The following is a 20,963-nucleotide window of genomic DNA, read 5'->3' as shown; positions in this document are numbered from 1 at the left end:
CCCCGCCACAGAGGGCAGCTTTACGTCCACTGCTCCACTGCACCCTACCTGCTAGTTTCAGGCTTCTCGCCAAAATACAAAACATGGCAGAGCAGTGTCTGCTAGAAATGAGTTTATTACAGAGAGAGGAGACAGGGCTCCGACAGGACGCACACACACGGCACTCATGCTCCTAAAACACTGGGTTTGTGAAGGGACATTATAAAAATGAGGAAATAAGCTGTGATGTTCAGCATGTGTCAGTTTCTAGGAATACAGAGAAGGGGAGAGCTGCAAGGTGGAGCGATTCTGAGGGCTGAAAATCCCTTTCCCAGTACGAAGACAGCATCCTTCAATCCCGCCAGCTCATGTGCATCTGAGGGTGGGGCTCTGTCTTCATGCTAGAAACCAAACTGCTCTCACAGCTTCCTGCTAAATCACCACGGCTAACGGATAAGCAGAGACGGACTATCCAGTCTGACTACTGAGCACTCAAGTCGTCAGTCCAGTGGCTACCCGGGAACGGGGGCAGACAGTGTGCGTGCACGTCTACGGGGCTGGACAGAGTGTGGTTAACCGGGGAACTGGGCAAGCCGGCGCCGAGCCTGCGTCAGCCGTGCAAGCCGCTCCTTCAGGAACTTCCGCTTGTCGCTGGTGTCGCTCCGCTCCTTCAGGAGCCAGCTGTAGGTGTCCTTGTCCTGCAGGAGCTGCAGCATGGCCTTCTGAAGCTGCTGGCCGTACGTCTGGAGCATGAAGAACTGGATGATCAAAGGGATGTGGCTGGAGATGCGCTTGCTGGCCTCCTGGAAGGAAAGAACAGTTCACGGGAGGGTGGAGGGGACACTGTGAGGAGGGGACTCTGACCTCACCATGTGCACATGAGGGGATCCAGATTCTCAATGAGGGAGACCCTCGCAGGGCAATGACCTTCCCCTGGGTTTCAAACCCATCAATCTCCTCCATGGTGGTGGCAGAGAGGAACTATGCACAGTGCAGAGAATGTCCCAGCTATGAGTCATATTCCCAGCAGCTTTTCCTGACCATTAAATGGGTAATTCTGATGGAAGAGGGCAAAATATGCTCTATAAAGGTAAGCAGGCAGACAGTGCAAAAACTGCATTTCCAGACCAGCCTGGTCAACGTGGTGAAACCGCGTCTCTACTAAAAATACAAAAAATAGCCAGGTGTGGCGGCACACCATGGGAGGCTGAGGCAGGAGAATTGTTTGAACCCAGGCAGGGGGAGGCTGCAGTGAGCTGGGATCGCGCCATTGTACTCCAGGCTGGGCGACAGAGCAAGACTCTGTCTCATAATAATAAATAAATAGGCGTGAAACTCTGACACTTGCTACCACCTGGATGAGGACATCATACTGCATGAAACAAGCCAGTCACAACTCCTATGAGGTACTTAGGTTAGTTGAATTCACAGAGACAGACAGTAGGATGGTAGCTGTCAGGGATTCAGGGGCGGGGAATGGGGAATGTGTTTAATGGGGACAGAGTTTCAGTGTGGGAAGGTGATAGGGTCCTGGAGATGGCTGCTGGTGATGCTGGCACAATATGAATGTACTTAATGCCACTGAACTATGTACCCCCAAATGGTTAAGATGGCAAAATAGACATGATGAATATTTCTGCACAATTTAAAGAAAGAAAAAGTGAGGGTGATGTGGGGGTGCTGGCTGCACTAGATGGTAAAACATAAGAGAGTCTTGCAGACAAGACCCAACGCAGAGGGGAAGTGAGTGCCTGAGTGGGCGTGTGGAGTACCAGTGGGAACTAGACGACCCTTCCAGGATGGGACTGGGACCTCTGCTGCCATCTGGATCCTGCCTCATTCTTGACATCAAAGAACTCCAAATGGGCCAAAGGTATCATGTAACAGTTAAAATAAGAAATTACTTAAAGAAAATATTGTCCACCTCATTTATCATCTCAGGGAGACAAAGTCCTTTTAAAGTATGGCAATAACCACTGAGGCCCAAATCCAACTTGAGTTTCTGCTCTAGAAAACTTACGCATAGTCTAAAACCACCATAGACAAAAATGACAAAGCAAATGACAAAATGTAGATCGTCTGCAACAGAAATCGCAGAGGTCTACTATCTCACCAAGAAGCTCTTCCTGGATGAACTGTTTGCTGAGCAAGAAATAGAAATAACCCTCAACACACAAAAAGATGTACCAGCTTGTTGTCATAAGAGAATGCCAATTAAGATTGTAATGAGATGTCATTTTCACCTATTAGGCTGTCAAAAAACCCCAACAAGGCCGGGCGTGGTGGCTCACGCCTGTAAACCCAGCACTTTGGTAGACTGAGGCGGATGGATCACATGGTCAGGCGTTCAAGACCAGCCTGGCCAATATGGTGAAACCCCGTCTCTACTGAAAAAACAAAAATTAGCCGAGTGTGGTGGCACGTGCCTGTAGTCCCAGCTACTCAGGAGGCTGAGGCAGGAGAATCGCTTGATCTCAGGATGCAGAGGTTGCAGTGAGCTGAGACTGCGCCACTGCACTCCAGCCTGGGCGACAGAGTGAGACTCTGTCACCAAAAAAAAACCAAACAAACAAAAAAAACCAACAACTTTAGTGCAGACTAAAGCGGCCAGTGTGGATGGAGCAGGCCTTCTCTGGGTCATCTTTATCAGTCTAAAATAAGCCATCCTTTCCCCAGCTGTGATGGTGTGTTTCATGTGTTAGCTTGGCTAGGCTCGAGTCCCCAGTGATTCCATCAAACACGAATCTAGGTATTGCTGCGGAGGTATTCTGTAGATGTGGGTAACATGTGTAACCCACTGACTTTAAGTGAAGGAGACCATTCTCAATGATGTGGATGGGCCTCATCCAATCAGTTGAGGGTCTTAAGAAGAAAAATGAGGTTTCCCTAAAAAGAAGAAATTCCGCCTGTGGACTCAGCCTTAGCTCCTGCTGCAATTTCTGGCCTGCTCTTCCTGCTGGCCTGCCCTGGGATTTTGGACTTGCCAGCTCCCAAAATGGCAGAAGCCAATTCCTTGAAATATACATATATTTCTTTCTTTCCTTCTGTTTTTTGTTTTGTTTTGTTTTTTGTTTGTTTGTTTGTTTTGAGATGGAGTCTCGCTCTGTCACCCAGGCTGGAGTGCAGTGGTGTGATCTTGGCTCACTGCAACCTCTGCCTCCCAGGTTCGAGCAATTCTCATATCTCAGCTTCCCAAGTAGCTGGGACTATAGGCATGGGCCACCATGCACAGCTAATTTTTTTGTATTTTTAGTAGAGACCGGGTTTCGCCATGTTGGCCAGGCTGGTCTCAAACTCCTGGCCTCAAGAGATCCACCCACCTCAGCCTTCCAGAGTGCCGGGATTACAGGCATGAGCCACCATGCCTGGCTGAAATATACTTCTTTACATACATATATCTGTGGTTCTGTTTCCCTGCACAATCCTAATATACCAGGAATCTCATTTCTAGGAATTGATGCTTCCAGATACATGATATACAAACAAACCTATTCACAGCAACACACCTGCATTAGCAAAAGACTGCAAACAAACTGTTCGCTTAAAGGGAGCTGGCTCAATATACCACATCCATAAAATGGGATACTCAGCAGCCATTGAAAAGAACAAGGCAGCCCCATCAGAACTGAGGCAGAACAATCTCCCAGGTACAGCAAAAGAGGCAGGGTACAGAGCAGCACGTCCACTCCTCTGCTAACCTTTGTGTAAAAACCATTATAAAATGTATATGCATGGGAGCTTTTGAGTGCATGAGTCAGCCTCGGAGGACAGAAATGAACCCGGAGAAGGGCTGCTTCTGTCCAGGGAGCTGCTTGGCTCGGAGACTCCTCTGCCATTGTCACTCATCCTATTGTTTGGATTCTGTGCATGTATATGCCTCACCTACTCTCAAGGTAACTGTTCATTCTAGGAGGCAGTGGAAGCAGCGGACAGGTGTGAGCTTGGCTGCAGGAGAAGCTGATGTGCATGCCTGTCTTCCCCTTAACTGGCTTCACTCACGTGCATGCAGCTCCCAGTGTCTGGAGGAATGGATGTTGACCCTCGGTTTAGAGCCTTGCTCCTCCAAGTGTGGCCTCTATCCAGTAGTATGGTGACCCCTGAGAGCCCGTTAGAAATGCAGAGGCCAGGCATGGTGGCTCACGCCTGTAATCCCAGCACTTTGGGAGGCCGAGGCAGGCAGATCACTTGAGGTCAGGAGTTCAAGACCAGCCTGGCCAACATGGTAAAAGTCCATCTCTACTAAAAATAGAAAAAATAGCTAGGCATGGTGGCAAGGTAAGCCTGTAATCCCAGCTACTTGGGAGGCTGAGGCAGGTGAATTGCTTGAACCCAGGATGTAGAGGTTGCAGTGAGCTGAGATTGTGCCACTGCACTCCAGCCTGGGTAATGGAGTGAGACTCGGTTTCAAAAAAAAAAAAAAAAGAAAGGCAGAATCTCAGCTTCATCCTGACCTGCAATCAGCATCTGCATTTCCACAAGATCCCAGGAGGCCTCTGTGCTGGGTGGAGTTTGAGAGGCCCTGCTTTAAAGCATCCAAATAGTAAGGCAATGGGGACATCTGATAAACCGAGAGATTACAATTTGCTTTACCTCCTCAGGTGTTTACACATCCCAAGGGCTCTACCTGAGTTGTGTCTGTGTTCACTGCCTCCTTCCCTAGGATGAATTAGATTGTACTTCAGGTTAACTGAATCGTGCAGTATCAACCAAAGCATGTGTCTACGCGATAGCTTCCATTTAGTCTGCTACCATTGCATTCCAATGCTGCACTAAGGAAATTGTTGTAAACCAGAAATAAAATCCTATGCCTTCCAGCCAACTCAACAGACCCCCTCTTGGCCAAGTGGACCCCAGAGAAACCTGAAAATCTGAATTCCTGGCCGTAACAGGAAGAGAAGCCAGGCCCTTTTGGAGTTTAGGTTGAAATTGAGATCATAAGGTTGGCCAAAAAGACTCTGGAGTAGTAAGATACCATATTATAAAGTCATGTGAGGCAGGGGTTAAGTCACACACACCCCACAAACCATGAAATCTCCTTGGATGAGTTTCCATGAACTCAGTATAAAATGGCTTACTTTCCAACCCGACTCTGGTATAGCATCACAAGACAGATTGCAGACCCTAAAGGAAATACAAATATTTTACCTAAAAATATATTTTGTGGACATATTTTGAAACGGCTGTAACAGGACCAACAGATTGAAATGGCCCTGCCATGTTTTGTGGGGGGGGAATTTGCACCTGTAGAGAATCTCCATTAATGCAGTCAGACCTCTCCCCTTCTAGGCCTTCCCTGAATCTAGGAGAGATTAACTGAGAGCCTGCTGCCTCTAAGGCCTGAAAAGAAACATTTACCATTTATTCTCTCTGAAGGCTGCTACCCAGAGTCTTCATCTACATACCTTTGGCCTCTAACACTGCCTTAACTCAGGCATTTCTTTCTATTGATGTCAAGTTTGTAGACAAAGTTTAACTCTTTCAAGCAATCGTCAACCAGAAAATCTCTGAACCCACCTATGACCGGTAAGCTCCCCCTCCTTCAAGGTGTCCTGCCTCTTTAGGGAGGGCAAGTACACCTCCCATGTATTGATTTATGATTTTACCTACAATTCCTGCCTCTCTGAAATGTATAAAATCAAACTGCATCCTGACAGCCTCAGGCACACTTCCTCAGGACCTCCTGAGACTGTTCCCAGAGCCATGGTCCCTCATATTTGGCTCAGAATAAACCTCTTTCAAATATTTTAACAGAGTTTGGTTTTTCCATTAGCAATCCATTATCATCATCCACACTCGTCTCCTGGAATATGCACTAGAATCTATGAGGAGACACCATTTTACAAAGAAAGCTGAGGCTCAGAGAGGTTAAGTAACTTGGCCAGAGCTAGACAGCCATCAAAACCAGATGTCACTGGCTCTAAGCCACCATCTCTCTGTCTGAGGTTGAGCTGCTTCTACGAAGGCGATATGGTTTGGCTCTGTGTCCCCACCCAAATCTCATCTTGAATTGTACTCCCATAATTCCCACCTGTTGTGGGAGGGACTCAGGGGGAGATAACTGAATCATGGGGGCAGTTTCTCCAATACTGTTCTCATGGTAGTGAGTAACTCTCATGAGATCTGATGGTTTGATAAGGGGAAACCCCTTTCACTTGGCTCTCATTCTCTCTCTTGCCACCGCCGCCAGGTAAGAAGTGCCCATTGCCTTCTGCCGTGATGGTAGAAGGCCTCCCCAGCCATGTGGAACTGTAAGTCCGTTAAACCTCTTTCTTTTGTAAATTGCCCAGTCTCAGGTATGTCTTTATCAGCAGCATGAAAATGGACTAATACAGGAGGCTAACAAGGAGGTAAACGACAGAGCTGACCAACGTCACCTACAGAGAGAGCAAGACTAAAGAGAGAGGCGTTCAGAAGAAAAGGAAAGAATGGAAGCTGGCATCCTGAACCACGCGAAGACGTACCTGGTGATAGGCCATCAGGTGCTGAAAGATCTCCTCCATGGAAGAGTCTGTTGCCGAGCTGGACTGGAAAGCCCCAAAATCCCAGGATTTCTTCTTCTTTTCTTCTTCCAGCTCCTTCTCTCTGACCTTCTGCAATGCACCCCTGTATACCTGGTCCTGGCAGTAGACAATCTGTTCCATCTGGAAGTGGAGGCGGATCAGCTTCTCACCTTCTCTCTCTTGTTCTGCTCTAATGTCTTCAATTTTGGACTACAGTAAAAAATAAATAAATACAGTTTCCCTCAAGACACAAATTCCTGAGTCACAGGAAAGTAGGTAAGAAGTCCGTAAATACCAGGTTACCCAACGTGAGTGAAACAGCACGTTTCCTGGAACAGCCCTCTGGGCCGCGCCCTGGTGTATCTAAGGCAGGTTTCTAGCCCTGGCTGAGGGTCAGAGCTTCCCAGGAGGCTTGAGCCACAGATGGGCCGGACCCCCATCCCGGGGCCTGGGGACCTGCACAGGCTTGCTTTCAGGCCCCGTAACTCAGCTTCTTTCCTTTCTCTTTTAGGGGCTTCTATATCTGATGGCGAGGATTGTCATATCCATCAGATAATCCACAGGGATGAGCAGGAAAGCCATGTTTAAGTCAGAAAATTATGTTTTATGTTCCCGGGGTTTAGAGAAACTGGTTGCCAAAACCTGAGGAGGAGAAACTTCACCCCTGGACCCTCCAGGCCTTGAGGAGAGGCACAGTGCACAGTGGCAGGTGCATCCTAAACATCTTACTCCACGTCCATCTCAACCTTCTGAGGAAGGCCTTATCAGTCTTCTTTTATGAATGAGGAGTCAGGGGCACAGGCTGGAAGTGGCACATCCCAAGGCCTCCAGCTGGTGAATCATGGGGCCAGGCTCCTCATCTGTGCCGGGGACACCTATTTCTAAGAGTGGCTAAGTCTGGTCTCTTGGCCCAGTCTGTCCCCCAGGCTCATTTCCTGTAGGCTCTTTCCTCACTCTGGATGGAAAGTTTTTTTGTTTGTTTTTTTTTTTTTTTTTGAGACGGGGTCTCGCTCCATCGCCTAGGCTAGAGTGCAGTGATGCAATGTTGGCTCACTGCAACTTCCACCTCCTGGGCTCAATCAATTCTAAAGTGTCAGCCTCCCAAGTAGCTGGGATTACAGGCATGCACCACCACGTCCAGCTACTTTTTTGTATTTTTAGTAGAGATGGGGTTTTGCCATGTGGGCCAGGCTGGTCTCAAACTCCTGGCTTTAAGTCATCTACCGGCCTCAGCCTCCCAAAGTGCTGGGATTACAGGCTCATCATGCCCACTCGGGCCAGAAATATTCTATTTTTATATGTAGTTTCCTCAGTGAGTTTCTGGATTTGGAGCCATTGCCCTTAGATGTGATAATCTTCTCCGCTAACTGTGGATCTCTTGTTCTGTGCGTTTAAGCACTCCCTCCTTTATTGCTTTTAACCAGACATCACCGGTAACATCAGAAGAAGCACTAGTGAGTGATGTTATTTGCTGTTCTAAAAGTATACAATAAAGTTGAAATAATCCTCATCCAAGAAATCTATTTTCTAGTGTCAAGCTTAATTTCTTTTCTTTTTTTTTTTTAAACAACACATGGTTGGTTTTACCTTGGCGGTTCTGTGGAGGTTAAAAAACTCTTCAAAATTTTTTATCGAAACATCTGTGAAAGCAAGCCGGACCATATCTAATCAAAGAGAGAAAAATAGTTCAATATTGGTAGGATCATTTGTTCTCTTCTTAAGATGCAAAAAAATATGAGGATCAAATGGTATGAAGTAAAGTTTCCCCTCTCCCCGCTCCCTTCTTCTCTTTACCATGAAAAAGCAAGGCATGCTCTTTTTGCTTAATAATTTGCTGGAAGAATCTTAAAAGCAAATGACCCCTGGCATACATTTATTTGATATTTAAACTTTTTATCCTAAATAGCTGCAAAGAATGTAATTTCTTTTAAATTATAAATATTAATATTTTATAATACAACTCTTAATATAAGTCAAATCACTCTTAAATATATCAATGGAATTTGAGTGTCTACATTATCCATTTGAAAAAAATACAAGAACAAGCTCTTAGATTAAAAAATTTATATTATTTATCTTTTATTTTTGAAACTCATTTCTATTCTACTTCCTCACAGAATTTTATTGTAATACAAGGTATAGTATCTTTATGATTGAAAACCTCTTATTGATCTCCATGTCATACATTTCTGAAAAAGAAATAGGTATATCTATGTTGATTTTTATGACTATAAGGCTCTAAGTATTATAAACTTTCCTCTGGAATGAGTTAAGAGTCTACAATGGACCAAAACAACATGATTGCAGGTTTTGGTATATGATTATCAGGGCTAAAAGGTCAATTTTACTGGAAATACACCTCTGAATGAGCTGTTCTGAGGCTATCTCCAGCTCCTTAGTTCATGGATCCATGAGTGATTATTAATTACTGCTAAGATGAGGCAGCTGAAGTGTGAGTAAGGATACTGTCAGTCAAGGAGAGGATGAAGAATAGAGATTTAATACCTGGAAAACCAAGAAAGCAAAGCATTTCAAGAAGGGAGTGGATCCACAGTAGGATCTAGTTTCCTACCTATCCGTGACACACCTAGATTCCTACAGCACTCCAAAAGGTTCCAAACACATCTACACGTGCAGTTATGGAACCATTGGCTTTACTCCTCGGAGATTTCAAATAAACAGCCGATTTTGAGTGTGAAGCCAGCATAGCAGTGGAGCAGGGGGGAGGTGTGGTGTGATAGGAAAAATATAAATATTTTGTCTTTGTCCCCATTTCCTAACATAGAGCCCCTACATCTCTTGGAATGTCCAGCCTTAGGAGTATCTCGTGTTTTGAAGAGATGATGCCTGGTGGGCCCCTACATAGCTTCAGGATTGGGGCCGGGCACTAGAAAGACCAAGCCTTGGCTAGAAACTTAGAACTTCCAGCTCCACAGAGGAGGGAGGGCCTGGAGATTGAGTCAATCCTCCATCATGCCTTCATGATGAGGCCTCCATAAAACCTTCTCCGCGGTGAGGTTCCAAGAGCTCCCTGGTTGATGACCACATCTCTGTGCCATGAGGATGGTGCCCCCAACCCCGTGGGGACAGAAGCTTCTGTGTTCAGGCCCCTACTATGTGCCTCTCCAACAGCTTCATTTGTGCCCCTTATCAAATCCTTTCTAATAGACCAGTAAATGTCAGTGAAGTGTGTTCCAGAGTTCTTGGTTGACCTGAGGAATGGGTCGCAAGAACCTTGATTTATAAACAGTCCATCAGAAGAATAGGAGGTCTGGGACTTGTGACCGGCATTTGTAGTTGGGGCCAGTGTTGTGGAACTGAGCCCTTAAGCTATGGGGTCCACACTGACTGAGGGTAGTTAGTGTCAGAATTGAATTGAATTGTTGAATACCAACTTGGCATCTGGAGAATGAGAGGTTTGCTCGTTGGTGTGGGATGCACCCCAGGAGGAAAGTGCTGAAGTTTGGTGCTGGCTTTGGTTCGAACCTTTCCTTTCTTTAGAAATCAATGCTCAGAGGTGAAACTGAGCACTCACCCGTCACGGTGTGTAGCATATCCACAGCCGGCTCTTCCAGTGCCTTGATTTGCTGTTTCACGATTGTCTCAAATGTCCTGTAATTCACAAAGCCTGGCAGCTCTCTACCACGATACTGATTTTCAAATTTCTGGATTTTTCTACTCAAAATTTTATGGCCTATAGCAGGAAAAAAAACCCTCTAAATTATTTTACAAAAATAATCTTGCACATTTTTCTAAACACAATACCATTCTAAATTTTCTGAAAATATAAATGGCAAGAAAAAGTGGTATCAAATCAAATCTAACTGGTAAACTAAAAATATCCAGGGATTACACACACACACACACACACACACACACACACACACACACACACACACAAAACCAGATCTGAAGATAATTTTCCTTAGTCATCTCAGGAAGGGGAGTGCAGAGCCAGGTACGATGCCAGGAACCCACATACGCAGAAACTTCGAGTAAGACCCTTTTTTTTCATTTGTTTGTTTGTGACAGAGTCTCGCTCTGTCACCCAGGCTGGAGTGCAGTGGCGTGATCTCAGCTCACTGCAAGCTCTGCCTCCCGGGTTCACGCCATTCTTCTGCCTCAGCCTCCCAAGTAGCTGGGACTACAGGTACCCGCCACCACGCCCGGCTAATTTTTTTGTATTTTTAGTAGAGACGGGGTTTCACCGTGTTAGCCAGGATGGTCTCAATTTCCTGACCTCATGATCCACCTGCCTCGGCCTCCCAAAGTGCTGGGATTACAGGCGTGAGCCACCGTGCCCGGCCAAGACCCCTTCTTAAAAACGTACTCGAGTATGAAGTTTTGTGAATCCAATTTTAGTTTTACCAAAGAAATTGTACCATAATACACTCCTTGCCCTCAACTGCATGCCCATTAGAAATGAGCATGAACACTTTCTGGAATTAACAATACATCACATATTCATGTGTCGAAAGTATTGCCATGTGTAGAAAGTGTTTACAAGTCAAATGGGATAACAGAGTAAACCAGGCACATCAACTTGTATGAATGTGATACAGTAGCACTGTTCACTGTGTAAGATGCTGCATTTTTCTTTAAACTTTTGGAATGATTTGTACTCCCAACAATCCACACTAGAGAGAGTTAGCCCCATCAGAAGTTCAGAGGGTTTGAGTTCCTTTTTGAGTGGTAATCTAGAACACTTTTTTTAGTCAGGAAATATTTTCCCATAAGGATTTTTCTAATTGAGATGTCATTTACATAGTATAACATTCACTCTGTTAAAAATATATGGTTCAGGCCAGGCACAGTGGCTCACGCCCGTAATCCCAACACTCTGGGAGGCTGAGGCCAGTGATCACCTGAGGTCAGGAGGTCGAGACCAGCCTGGCCAACATGGTGAAACCCCATCTCTACTAAAAATACAAAAATTAGACAGGTGCCTATAATCCCAGCTACTAGGGAGGTGGAGGCTGAAGCAGGAGAATCGCTTGAATCTGGGAGGCAGAGGGTGCAGTGAGCCGAGACTGAGCCACTGCACCCCAGCCTGGGCAACAGAGTGAGACCCTGTCTCCAAAGAAAAAGAAAAAAAAAAGTGTATGGGTGAGTGAATTTTAGTATATTCACAAAGTTGTGCGACCATCCCCAGACATAACTCCCAAACCCCACATCCATCACCCATCAGTGATAACTTCCCACTTTTCCCTCCCCAGCCCCTGGCAGCCACTATTCTGCTTTCTGCCTGCCTGGGTTTGCCTGTTCTAGCCATTTTCTATCAATGGAATCATAGACCGTGTGGCCTTTGTGGCTGGCTTCTTTCACTCAGCATGACATTTTCAAGGTTCATCCATGGGGTGCTGTGGACCAGCACTCTGTGCCTGTCTGTGGCTGGAAATATTCCAGGACTTGGTGTTACGGGCTGAGCTTGAGTTGTGACCTCTTCAAACTCCAATGTTGAAGTCCTAACCCTCAGAAACTCAGAATCTGACTGTGTTTGGAGACAGGCAAAGAGGTAATTAAATTGAAATCAGGTCACTAGGGTGGGCCCTCATCCCATCTGCCTAGTGTCCTTGTGGGAGGAGATGAGGACACACACACTGAGGGACAACCACATGAGGACCCAATGAGAAGAGGCCATCTGCAAGGCAAGGAGAGAGGCCTTAGAAGGAACCAGCTCCACCAACATCTTGATCTTGGACTTCCAGCCTCCAGAACTGTAAGAAAATAAATTTCTACTGTTTAAGCCCCCCCAAGTCTGTGGTACTTTGTTATGACAGCCAAAGCCAACCGCTACACACAGACACAAGCCAGTTGGTTTATCAATTCATCAGTGGATGGTCATTTGGGTTCAGTGATATAGAAGAGAGCAAACATGGCTTTAGTTGTCACTAGCTCCTTATCCTGACCATCCTCCCCAACTGCCCCACTCTTCTCTGTCTTAAGCCAACGTATCAGGTTTACCACGGTATTGACTCATTGCTATGGTCTACATGTTGGTGTCCCCTAAAAATTCCTATGTTGAAACTTAATCCCCAGTGTGATGGTATCAACAGAGGAGACCTTTAGGAAGGATTGGGTTATGAGCACTCTGCCCGCATAATGGCATTCCAGGCATATCTTGTTTTATTGCACTTCACTGATACCGTATTTTTTACAAATTGAAAGTCTGTGGCAATCCCATGTCAAGCAAATCAGCACCATTTTTTTCCAGTAGCACATGCTCACTTTTTGTTTCTGTACCAGCAATTTTTTAGCAATAAGGTGTTTTAAACTAAGGTACATACATATTTTTTAGGCCTAATGCTATTACATACTTAATAGACTGCAGTAGGGCATAAATGAACTGTTTATGCACCAGGAACCAAGAAGTTTATATGACTTGCATTATTGCAATATTCTTTTTGTCTGGAACTGAACCCACAATATCTCTGAGGTATGCCTGTGGTACCCCTGTAAAAAAGAGGTCCGAGGAAGCTTGTTCGTCCCTTATCCCATGAGAGGACACAGCTAGAAGGTGCCATCTTTGAAGCAGAGAACAAGCTCTCACCAGACACCAAATTTCCTGATTCCTTAAGAATAGATTTCTCACCTCCAGAACAATGAGCAATAAGTTTCTACTGTTTATAAATGACCCAGTCTCAGGTATTCGGTTGTAGCAGCCCAAAAGAAGGGACTAAGACACTCACCTTCTTGAAAATTGTTTTCAATTATTGTACTCCATTTGTGGAACTCGTGTCGGAGTCTGGTAAACAGCCGAATGTCTTCCTCCCCTACAGTTTCCTCTCCTTGCATGAGAGCAGTGATGTCCTGATTAAAGGCATTAACTTTCTGTCAAGAAGAAAAACATCAGTATAAGTGGATAGACTTCAAATCCAAGTGTCAAGGTCATTTGGAGGCCGTGCCTATGTGGAGGGTGGGGAGTCATTCTTTGCTTTCTTATGGGACACTGTGGATCAGGGGAAAGAAGAGGTTTTGGCACTAGAAAATCCTATCCCACCCCTTACTGCCTTAGGGATCTGGGTGATGCTCGTGACAGAGTAGGCACAACGCAGCCTGAGCATCCCTCGCTGCTGACTCCACCCCCACATCTGCACTCCCTGCCCTGCCTCCCTCAGCCCTGTCCACCCTTTGAGTGCTACGGGCCAGATGTCTTTGGATCAGCCTTGGGGGAGTGAAGAAGGAAGTGCATAAGGCCCAGGGTCCCTTTTTTGACCATGACATGTGCTTCTCCAGCTCCATGCAGCTGGCAACACTCACATCTATCAGGAAGAACATTTTTTCATTTTCGTCTTCCGGTATGTCGACACCATACTTTTGTAGCTCCTCTGTTATTCTCTGGTGAGTCTCCTTGATTTGATTTTCTAACAGGGGCAGAGATTTCTGAGGAAAATGGAGAGAAAATAATGGAAATGTGTAAAGATGAACAGAGAATGAAAAGGAGGTCCCGGGCCTCCCTCTGCAGAGGAGTTGTGTGGGCCATTTGACTTCCTGGCTTCCTCTAAAAGGAAGCTTTTCCAGACCCGGGGGAGGTGCAGGGGGGCACACACTGGGGGCACTGTTTTCTGCCCAGGTCTTCCCCCTTCCCCACTCCTGCGACAGCAGCCTCATGAGCAGCACTGTGGCACCCACTGTGCATGGGTCCTAGGCCCCGGCAGAGTGACCCGGGAGCAGTTCCTCTGTGGTCATATTAGGTAAACTCTCTGGAGGGAGACTGGAGAGATCCACTTGTCTAGTAGGTTCTGAAAAAGTGGCATTTGGAGCAATTTGAGATTCAACAACTTTTATGTTGCTTGCAATCAATAAAAAGTGATCAGAGACTTATGTTTTTAACAATACGGTTGACGCCATATGCTGGCTCACCCTTCCACGGCAAACATCTAAAAATGCCAGCTGACATGTGAAAGCTGCACCTTTAAATGTATCGGTGGACTCACAAGTTAGTGAGGGGTAGTCAGAGGCCAGCCCCAGTAACAGTGGCCAGGCAGGGGCTCAAGGAGAAGGCAGCAATGAAGCCCGGCTCAGCCACAAGGGCATCTGTCTAGGTAAGAAAATTCGAACGGGAACTTATGAACCTGACTTGGTGCAGAGGCAAAAAATCAATCCCCATGGGCTTGCTCGAGGTGGGGAATCTAATAAGGAAGCATCCTCTTTCTGCATACAGTGGGACCCCAGAGAGCTCTGCACTCATCATGGTCGGCTGGAAACAACCCTGTTATGCACCCGCATTCCTGGGGACCACGTGGAAGACCTTGCACTCTGGTGCTGAGTTGAAAATTTGAAAAAGGCCAGTCTGGTCAACATGGTGAAACCCTGTCTCTACTAAAAATACAAAAATTAGCCAGGCATGGTGGTGGGCACCTGTAATCCCAGCTACTCAGGAGGCTGAGGTAGGAGAATTGCTTGAACCCAGGAGGCAGAGGTTGCAGTGAGCTGAGATCACACCACTGCACTCCAGCCTGGGCAACAGAGTGAGACTCTGTCTCAAAAAAAAAAAAAAAAAAAAAAAAAAGAAAGAAAAGAAAAGAAAAGAAAATTTGAAAAAGGAAGACACTATATTCAGGCAGACTTTTAAAAAGAACCACAGAGAGCTTTTACAAAGCTTTTAGAAGTTAAAAAATATGTTCATTAGAATGACTAAGACATTATAATAGTGGTTGTCAATGAGAAAGGAAGAGTTAGTAGCTTGTGCATAAGATTTTAATTTTTATTTTGGCCCAGTAGATATAGTCTATCAGCATTCCCCCTGACTGTGGTCCCCTGAAAAGGAATATCCACATTGTCTGGGGGCTTGCTGGAAATGCAGAATTCTAGGCCCCACTCCAGACCCACAGAATCTGAAACTGCATCTTAACAAGATCCTCAGAAGATCTGTGTGTACAGTGATGTTTAAGAAGCCAGCAAGGTTCAGCTCTGCGGTCGTAGTATTCTTTTTAGAGAACCCACAGCTCTGCCCGTGCTTACACAGATATGTGTGATGAGCTCGCTGGTAAGTTTTTCTGCCAGGCAGGGAACCGTGGCCTTTCCTTCCTCCAGCAGATCCCTAGAAGAGAACACAGGACCGATTTCCACCTTGATGTAGCCAGAACACGCATGTCTGCCTTTTTGCTGTTGGGGAAAGTCAAGGCAAATTTCAGTTGCTTACAACTGGATGGAATGTCTTGCAGTTGGTACCCAACAAATACTCAGAACTGGATTGAATAGGATTATGACTGAATTTTAGCAATCTAGGATATTTCCACAATGATATGGAATGAGCTCTTCCAGCTGATATAATAAATGTGTATCATGGTGTCTGACTATAGACTTGGTCATCACAAAAATACACAGACATGTATAGATATGTTTTTATAACACATACCCCCTTCTATGTGTAATATGTGTAGGTGATCATAATGGATACAGACATATCTTCATACAAATACATTGAAGCATATTGAGATAAATGGGTAGCAGAACACTGAGGAGAAGAGACACAAGATATCTTGTCCAAGATAAAAACTTAAACCATGGGCTGCCTGGAGGAAGGAAGTCAAGTATCTTCTCACTCGATCCAAATTTGTGCTCACAGAGTGAGTTATTACAGGGTTTCCCACATTTTATAGGACATTTTAGGATAAAGGCAGCAGTGAAGCATGAGTTTCTGTGCCTTTTTGTGAGTATACTCATACCTAAGCTTCAGTTTCTCTGTCAATTTTTCTAAATTGTGGTAAACTACATATAAAATTGACCATTTAACCATCTTTAAGAGTACACTTGAGTGGCATTAAGTACATTCACACTATTATGCAACCATCACCACTGTCTGTCTTCAGAACTTTTCATATTCCCAAACTGAAACAATGGCCCCATTAAACACTACCTGCCCATTCTCTCTCTCCCAGCCCCTGGTGCCCATCATTCTTTCTGTCTCTATGAATCTGACTACTCCAGGGACCTCAGCTAAGTGGAATCAGACAGTATCCGTCCTCTTACGACTGGGTTCTTTCACTTAGTAGAATGTTCCCAAGCTTCATCCATGTTGTAGCATGTGTCAGAATGTCTTTCCTTTCTAAGGCTGAAAGTATTCCATGTTTTTGTACAGACCACATTGCTTTCTGCATCCATCCATCAATGGACACTGAATCATCTCATCTTCTGGCAATTGTGAATGTGCAGAACAGGATGTAAGTTTCCATTTGATATTCCTGGAATTCTGAGTAATGGCTCTCTGTAGGCTTCTGGGAGAACTGAATGTAAGAATGTTTACAACTCTACATAGTCTCATCATTTTAAATCTTACCAATTTGTCAGTCTTTTCCTTTTAAAAAATGTCACTTTTGGTAGGAGGGATAGAAAAATCTTATAAACTATTCACCTACCTTTCTTCTGAGATGCTTATTGCTTCCTCTTAATATTTAACTTTAAACTTTAACTATTTTGGTATAATGAGATAAGTAAGGGCAGTATTTTAGTTTTTTCCCAAATATTAATTATCCTAACACCACTAATAGATACTCAAGCTGATATAGTCCACTATTTGATTTGAAATGCTGCATTTATCATGTGTCAAATATATATATCTAGGTCTATTTCTGGGCTTTCTACTTTTTTCCTATTCTCTTCTATTTATGTTTTTATAAAATATGGTTCCAGCACCATGCTACGTAAATTATTGTACATTGTTCTCTCCCTATTTTGATTGGTTTTTAGTTTTTTTTTTCTTGGCAGTATTTTGTAATCCCCTTCCTATTCTTCTAGGTGAATTCCATAGTCCTTGTTGGGGAACAAGCATAGTCACACACACACGCGCACACACACACACGCACACACACACACACACACTCCACACATCTGTGGGACGGCTGCCACTGTCCCCTGGAAGGCCTGACATCCTGGGCTTGGACTGATCCATGATGAAACCCAGGCAAGCGCACCTGAAATATGGGTGGTTCTCAAAGAAGATCTTCTCTCTCTGCAGGGCTTCGGACAGGCTCAGCTGGTCCTGGATCTCCTGCTGGCCCCGGCACTTGACAATCATGTAACCCTTCTTCAGGTGGAACACGAGGTTCCGCACCACGTCCACAACCTTGTCTTCAGTTCCTTTGTCCACCAGATCAGGCTTCGTCAAGATTCCTGCGAGCCAGATGTATTTGGGGAGAGAACGTGCTCAGTCACGAGGCAGAGGTGAACGAACAACTGCTCACGCCCCCGGCCTCCCAGGGTTTCCTCCCATCCTTGCTTGAGGACAGGCCATAGCCCCTGCAGAACCATGGGGGCAGTGGAGCCCCGCTCCAGAAAAGAACTCCACGACAAGCCGCGTGAAGGCAGGGATGCCTCCCAGAACAGCATGTGGCTCTCCCCAAGCTCCTTCACCCGGGTCCACTGTAGAACACGCCACGTTTTGTTTATCCCTTGAGTTATGGACATCCCATCTCAAATGCATTCTTAATGAGTACCATGTGCCTCCTGAGTTTGACCTGCTTCCGAGCCCACTGTGCCTTTCTGAGCAAGTAGATAAGGCTTACAAGGCAACCTAGCCAGTGAGAGTCAAAAGCAGCTCATTTCACTTGGCCTTGGTGGGCACCAAACCTGCTCCCTTAGCAGGTCTTAGTGGAGGCAGGTCCCCACTGAGCAAAGCCCATGGAGACTGGAGGGACGCTTGCCCACTGGCAGACCACCGAGCACAGGCGGGCTCCCCCATTCTCACCGAGCACAGGCGGGCTCCCCCATTCTCACCGAGCACAGGTGGGCTCCCCCATTCTCACCGAGCACAGGCGGGCTCCCCCATTCTCACTGAGCACAGTGGGGCTCCCCCACTCTCACCGATGGTCCTGTCTCCCTCGGGGTCCACCTCCTGGGCCATGCTGAGAGCCTCTGTGGTGGCGATGTCCACATTACTGGGGACCACCACCAGGCTGATTGTCTCCTGCCTCTGGATGTACTTCTTGATGAGTGTCTTGATCTGTAAGGAAATGAGAGGAGGTGACTCGTGAGTATGGCAAAGGCAAGTGAGAGGTGAGACAAGTCCTGACCTTGCACTTGCTTTAGGCCCTAAGAGTCCCAGGGGTATTTCCCCCAAAAGAAGTAACTTTGGAGAAATGAACCCACAAACACAACCCTGGAGGTACCAAGCTGGAATTATGAGAAAATAAATTATCTGTGGCAGAAGCAGAGCTATAGGCTCAGGGAAAACCATGAAGTTTCAGATAATTAACCCCTAAGACCTCAGATCTGATGGTCACAATGAAAAATGGTGGCCAAAAAACCCCACTTCACCCCTAAATCTTTAATCTGTAAAGTGAGATTCACTGATACTAAAATATCATTATACCTATTTCTTTCTTGCTTGTTTTGTTTTGTTTTTTGTTTTGAGACAGATTCTTGCTCTGTTGCCCAGGCTGGAGTGCAGTGGCACAATCACGGCTCATCACAGCCTCCCTGGTTCAAGCAATCCTCCTAGTAGCTGACAGGTGCACGCCACCATACCTGGCTAATTTTTTAACCTTTCTTTTATAGAGAAGGGGGTCTCACTATGTTGCTCAGGTTTCTGTCAAACTCTTGGGCTCAAGGAATCCTCCTGCCTCAGCCTCCCAAAGTGCTGGGATTATAGGACTGAGCCACTGTGTGTGGCCCATTATACTTATTTTTAATGCTCTCTTCCCACATAAGACCCCTTCCTAATACACAGCACTTTAGATATGCTGCAAAATGTATATAACCAAAAACAAGTCATTGCATAAAACATAAAACAAATACACAGAACACATTTCCAACTGTGCCCACTGGCCTCACTTTCTCCAAAGAAGCTTCCATTCAACTTGACAGAACAGACTGTGACCAACGGGCTCTCTAAATTCCCCACTCACACCTCCAAATACTAACTCCAAAACTCAGCTCTGGACTCACGGTTACTCTAATACAGTACCCTCTTTCTCCTCCCACCCCTCCACTCCCCCATCCCCACGCCACGGCCAAGGTCAGAATGGGTCTGAAGTCTGACCTTATACCCAATGTCAGCAGGCTGATTGCCCACAGCCACTCTGGTTATGCCAGGAAGGTCTATTAGAGTCAGATCCGGGACATCTCGGGAGCTGATCTCCAGGGTGATTAGCTCATGACTGATTCCCATTCCTTCCCCGGCGATGGCATTCTGGGCTAGAAAAGAGACAGGGAAAATCAAACCCAAACAGAGCTTAGGATAAACGGATCTCATGATGGTGAATACTCTGAAAGCATCTTCTCCTCTCTGCGAGTCATGGATAAAAGCATATTTGGAGCAGATTCAATTTTCTGTGATTGGGATAAAAGAGATCTCAAAGGATAACTCAGTATTTTCCCTGCTGTTGGCCAGCACTGTGTGTAGAGAGACCTTGTGAGAACGTCACCATGAGTGACACCCACTTAGACCAGTCCAAAGCTGGGCGGAGGCAAGAAGTTCTTCCTGGTAGCATTCCTAAATCCTTCTCATTGATGTCAGTAGGAAATTAGCAACCAAGCAAAATAAAAACAAATAAAAATATATGGAAATGCCTAAAATATAAACTGGAAAATTATATGGGGAAATGTGCTTATTTTAGCTAAGATAAGCACTGGCTGTTAACATCCCATTAAGAGATTTTATTTTGCTCCTTCCTCCTTAATGAATTTTAGGATATGAATTTGTTTCATCAAATTGTTGGCTAACACCACTTTACTCTTTTCTAAATCTAGAATGCCTTTTTGGGATGTTTGATATCAATTTAGAACTTAGGAAATATCAGTGGTTATGGTCCACTAATTGTTCCCCCAATATCCATGTACCTGCCATGTGGTCATGAGATCGGGTTCTGGCCAATGGGCCATGTGAAAATGTTATGTGCAACTTCCAGAAAGTGTGCTTACAAAGGCAGAGATATGCCCCTTGCCATGGTCCAGCTGGCTTCAAAGCGGACTTGCTGACTAAGTCACGGGGGGGCCTTGGAAACAGAGGCCACACCCAATGAAGAAATGGGAGAAGAATAAATCTTGGTTCCTGACATTGGAATCCCCAATCAGCTCTGGTCTGCCCGCCTTCAGACTTATATGAGAGGGACAGAAAGCCTCTACATTGTTTAGACCGCTGTCTCAGCAACTTGCTGGCACAATGGCATCCACATTCCCTTCCATCCCTGTATGCACGCTACTTTACAGGGTGCCTTCGTCACTTCCATGGAGAGAGAGAAAATCGGTCCCTTGAAATTGGGCTTGGCCACGTGACTTTCTCTGGCTAAGGGGATGTTACACAGTGCCACGTCAGGAGAGACCGAAAGGTGTTAGATGTCGGGTCTTGCCCTCTCTTGCTGCTGGGAACCCCTCCACCCACATTGATAAGTCCAGCTTAGCCTTCTGGAGGGTGAGAGACCACACAGACAGAAGGCCCGGTCACTCCAGCCAAGGGCCATCCTGGACCATCAGCCCCAGCCCAGCTAGCCCAGAGAAGAACTGCCCAGCTGGTCCATCAAATCATGAGAAATAAAAGTGGTC

At 45.7% G+C, this 20,963-nt stretch overlaps 1 protein-coding gene across 27 annotated transcripts in view, besides 2 other annotated features; it reads right to left on the bottom strand.

The window, feature by feature from the left end:
• MX1 (MX dynamin like GTPase 1) overlaps positions 96-20,963 on the bottom strand; it is a 38,657-nt gene continuing 17,789 nt past the window's right edge. For 9 of the 27 annotated variants that reach the window (XM_017028349.3, NM_001144925.2, XM_047440769.1 and 6 more), the window contains 10 exons: positions 19,462-19,616; positions 18,285-18,423; positions 17,396-17,594; positions 15,444-15,522; positions 13,740-13,862; positions 13,169-13,310; positions 10,015-10,173; positions 8,067-8,143; positions 6,441-6,689; positions 96-782 (listed from right to left, as the gene is read on the bottom strand). In XM_017028349.3, coding sequence (XP_016883838.1) covers positions 552-782; positions 6,441-6,689; positions 8,067-8,143; positions 10,015-10,173; positions 13,169-13,310; positions 13,740-13,862; positions 15,444-15,522; positions 17,396-17,594; positions 18,285-18,423; positions 19,462-19,616 — 1,553 coding nt within the window. In that variant the 3' untranslated portion in view covers positions 96-551. Of the gene's footprint in view, positions 783-6,440; positions 6,690-8,066; positions 8,144-10,014; positions 12,197-13,168; positions 13,311-13,739; positions 13,863-15,443; positions 15,523-17,395; positions 17,595-18,284; positions 18,424-19,461; positions 19,617-20,963 lie in introns of those variants that run through there. The other 18 variants (NM_001438334.1, NM_001438335.1, NM_002462.5 and 15 more) reach the window with 5 other exon arrangements.
• Positions 619-1,120: an enhancer, noted in NCBI's record as "H3K4me1 hESC enhancer chr21:42830117-42830618 (GRCh37/hg19 assembly coordinates)". NCBI's record gives its function as "activates a minimal SCP1, AML or CMV promoter by ChIP-STARR-seq in naive H9 embryonic stem cells {active_cell/tissue: H9 hESC(naive)}" and the evidence as "EXISTENCE:reporter gene assay evidence [ECO:0000049][PMID:30033119]".
• Positions 5,916-7,115: an enhancer, noted in NCBI's record as "CDK7 strongly-dependent group 2 enhancer chr21:42824122-42825321 (GRCh37/hg19 assembly coordinates)". NCBI's record gives its function as "activates an origin of replication core promoter dependent on BRD2, BRD4, P300/CBP, MED14 and CDK7 cofactors, with strong dependence on CDK7, by STARR-seq in HCT116 cells {active_cell/tissue: HCT116}" and the evidence as "EXISTENCE:reporter gene assay evidence [ECO:0000049][PMID:35650434]".

Source organism: Homo sapiens, chromosome 21 (assembly GCF_000001405.40).
Source record: "Homo sapiens chromosome 21, GRCh38.p14 Primary Assembly".
NCBI lineage: Eukaryota > Metazoa > Chordata > Mammalia > Primates > Hominidae > Homo > Homo sapiens.
Note: the sequence above shows the minus strand (reverse complement) of the source record. Positions and strands in the feature narration are given on the sequence as shown.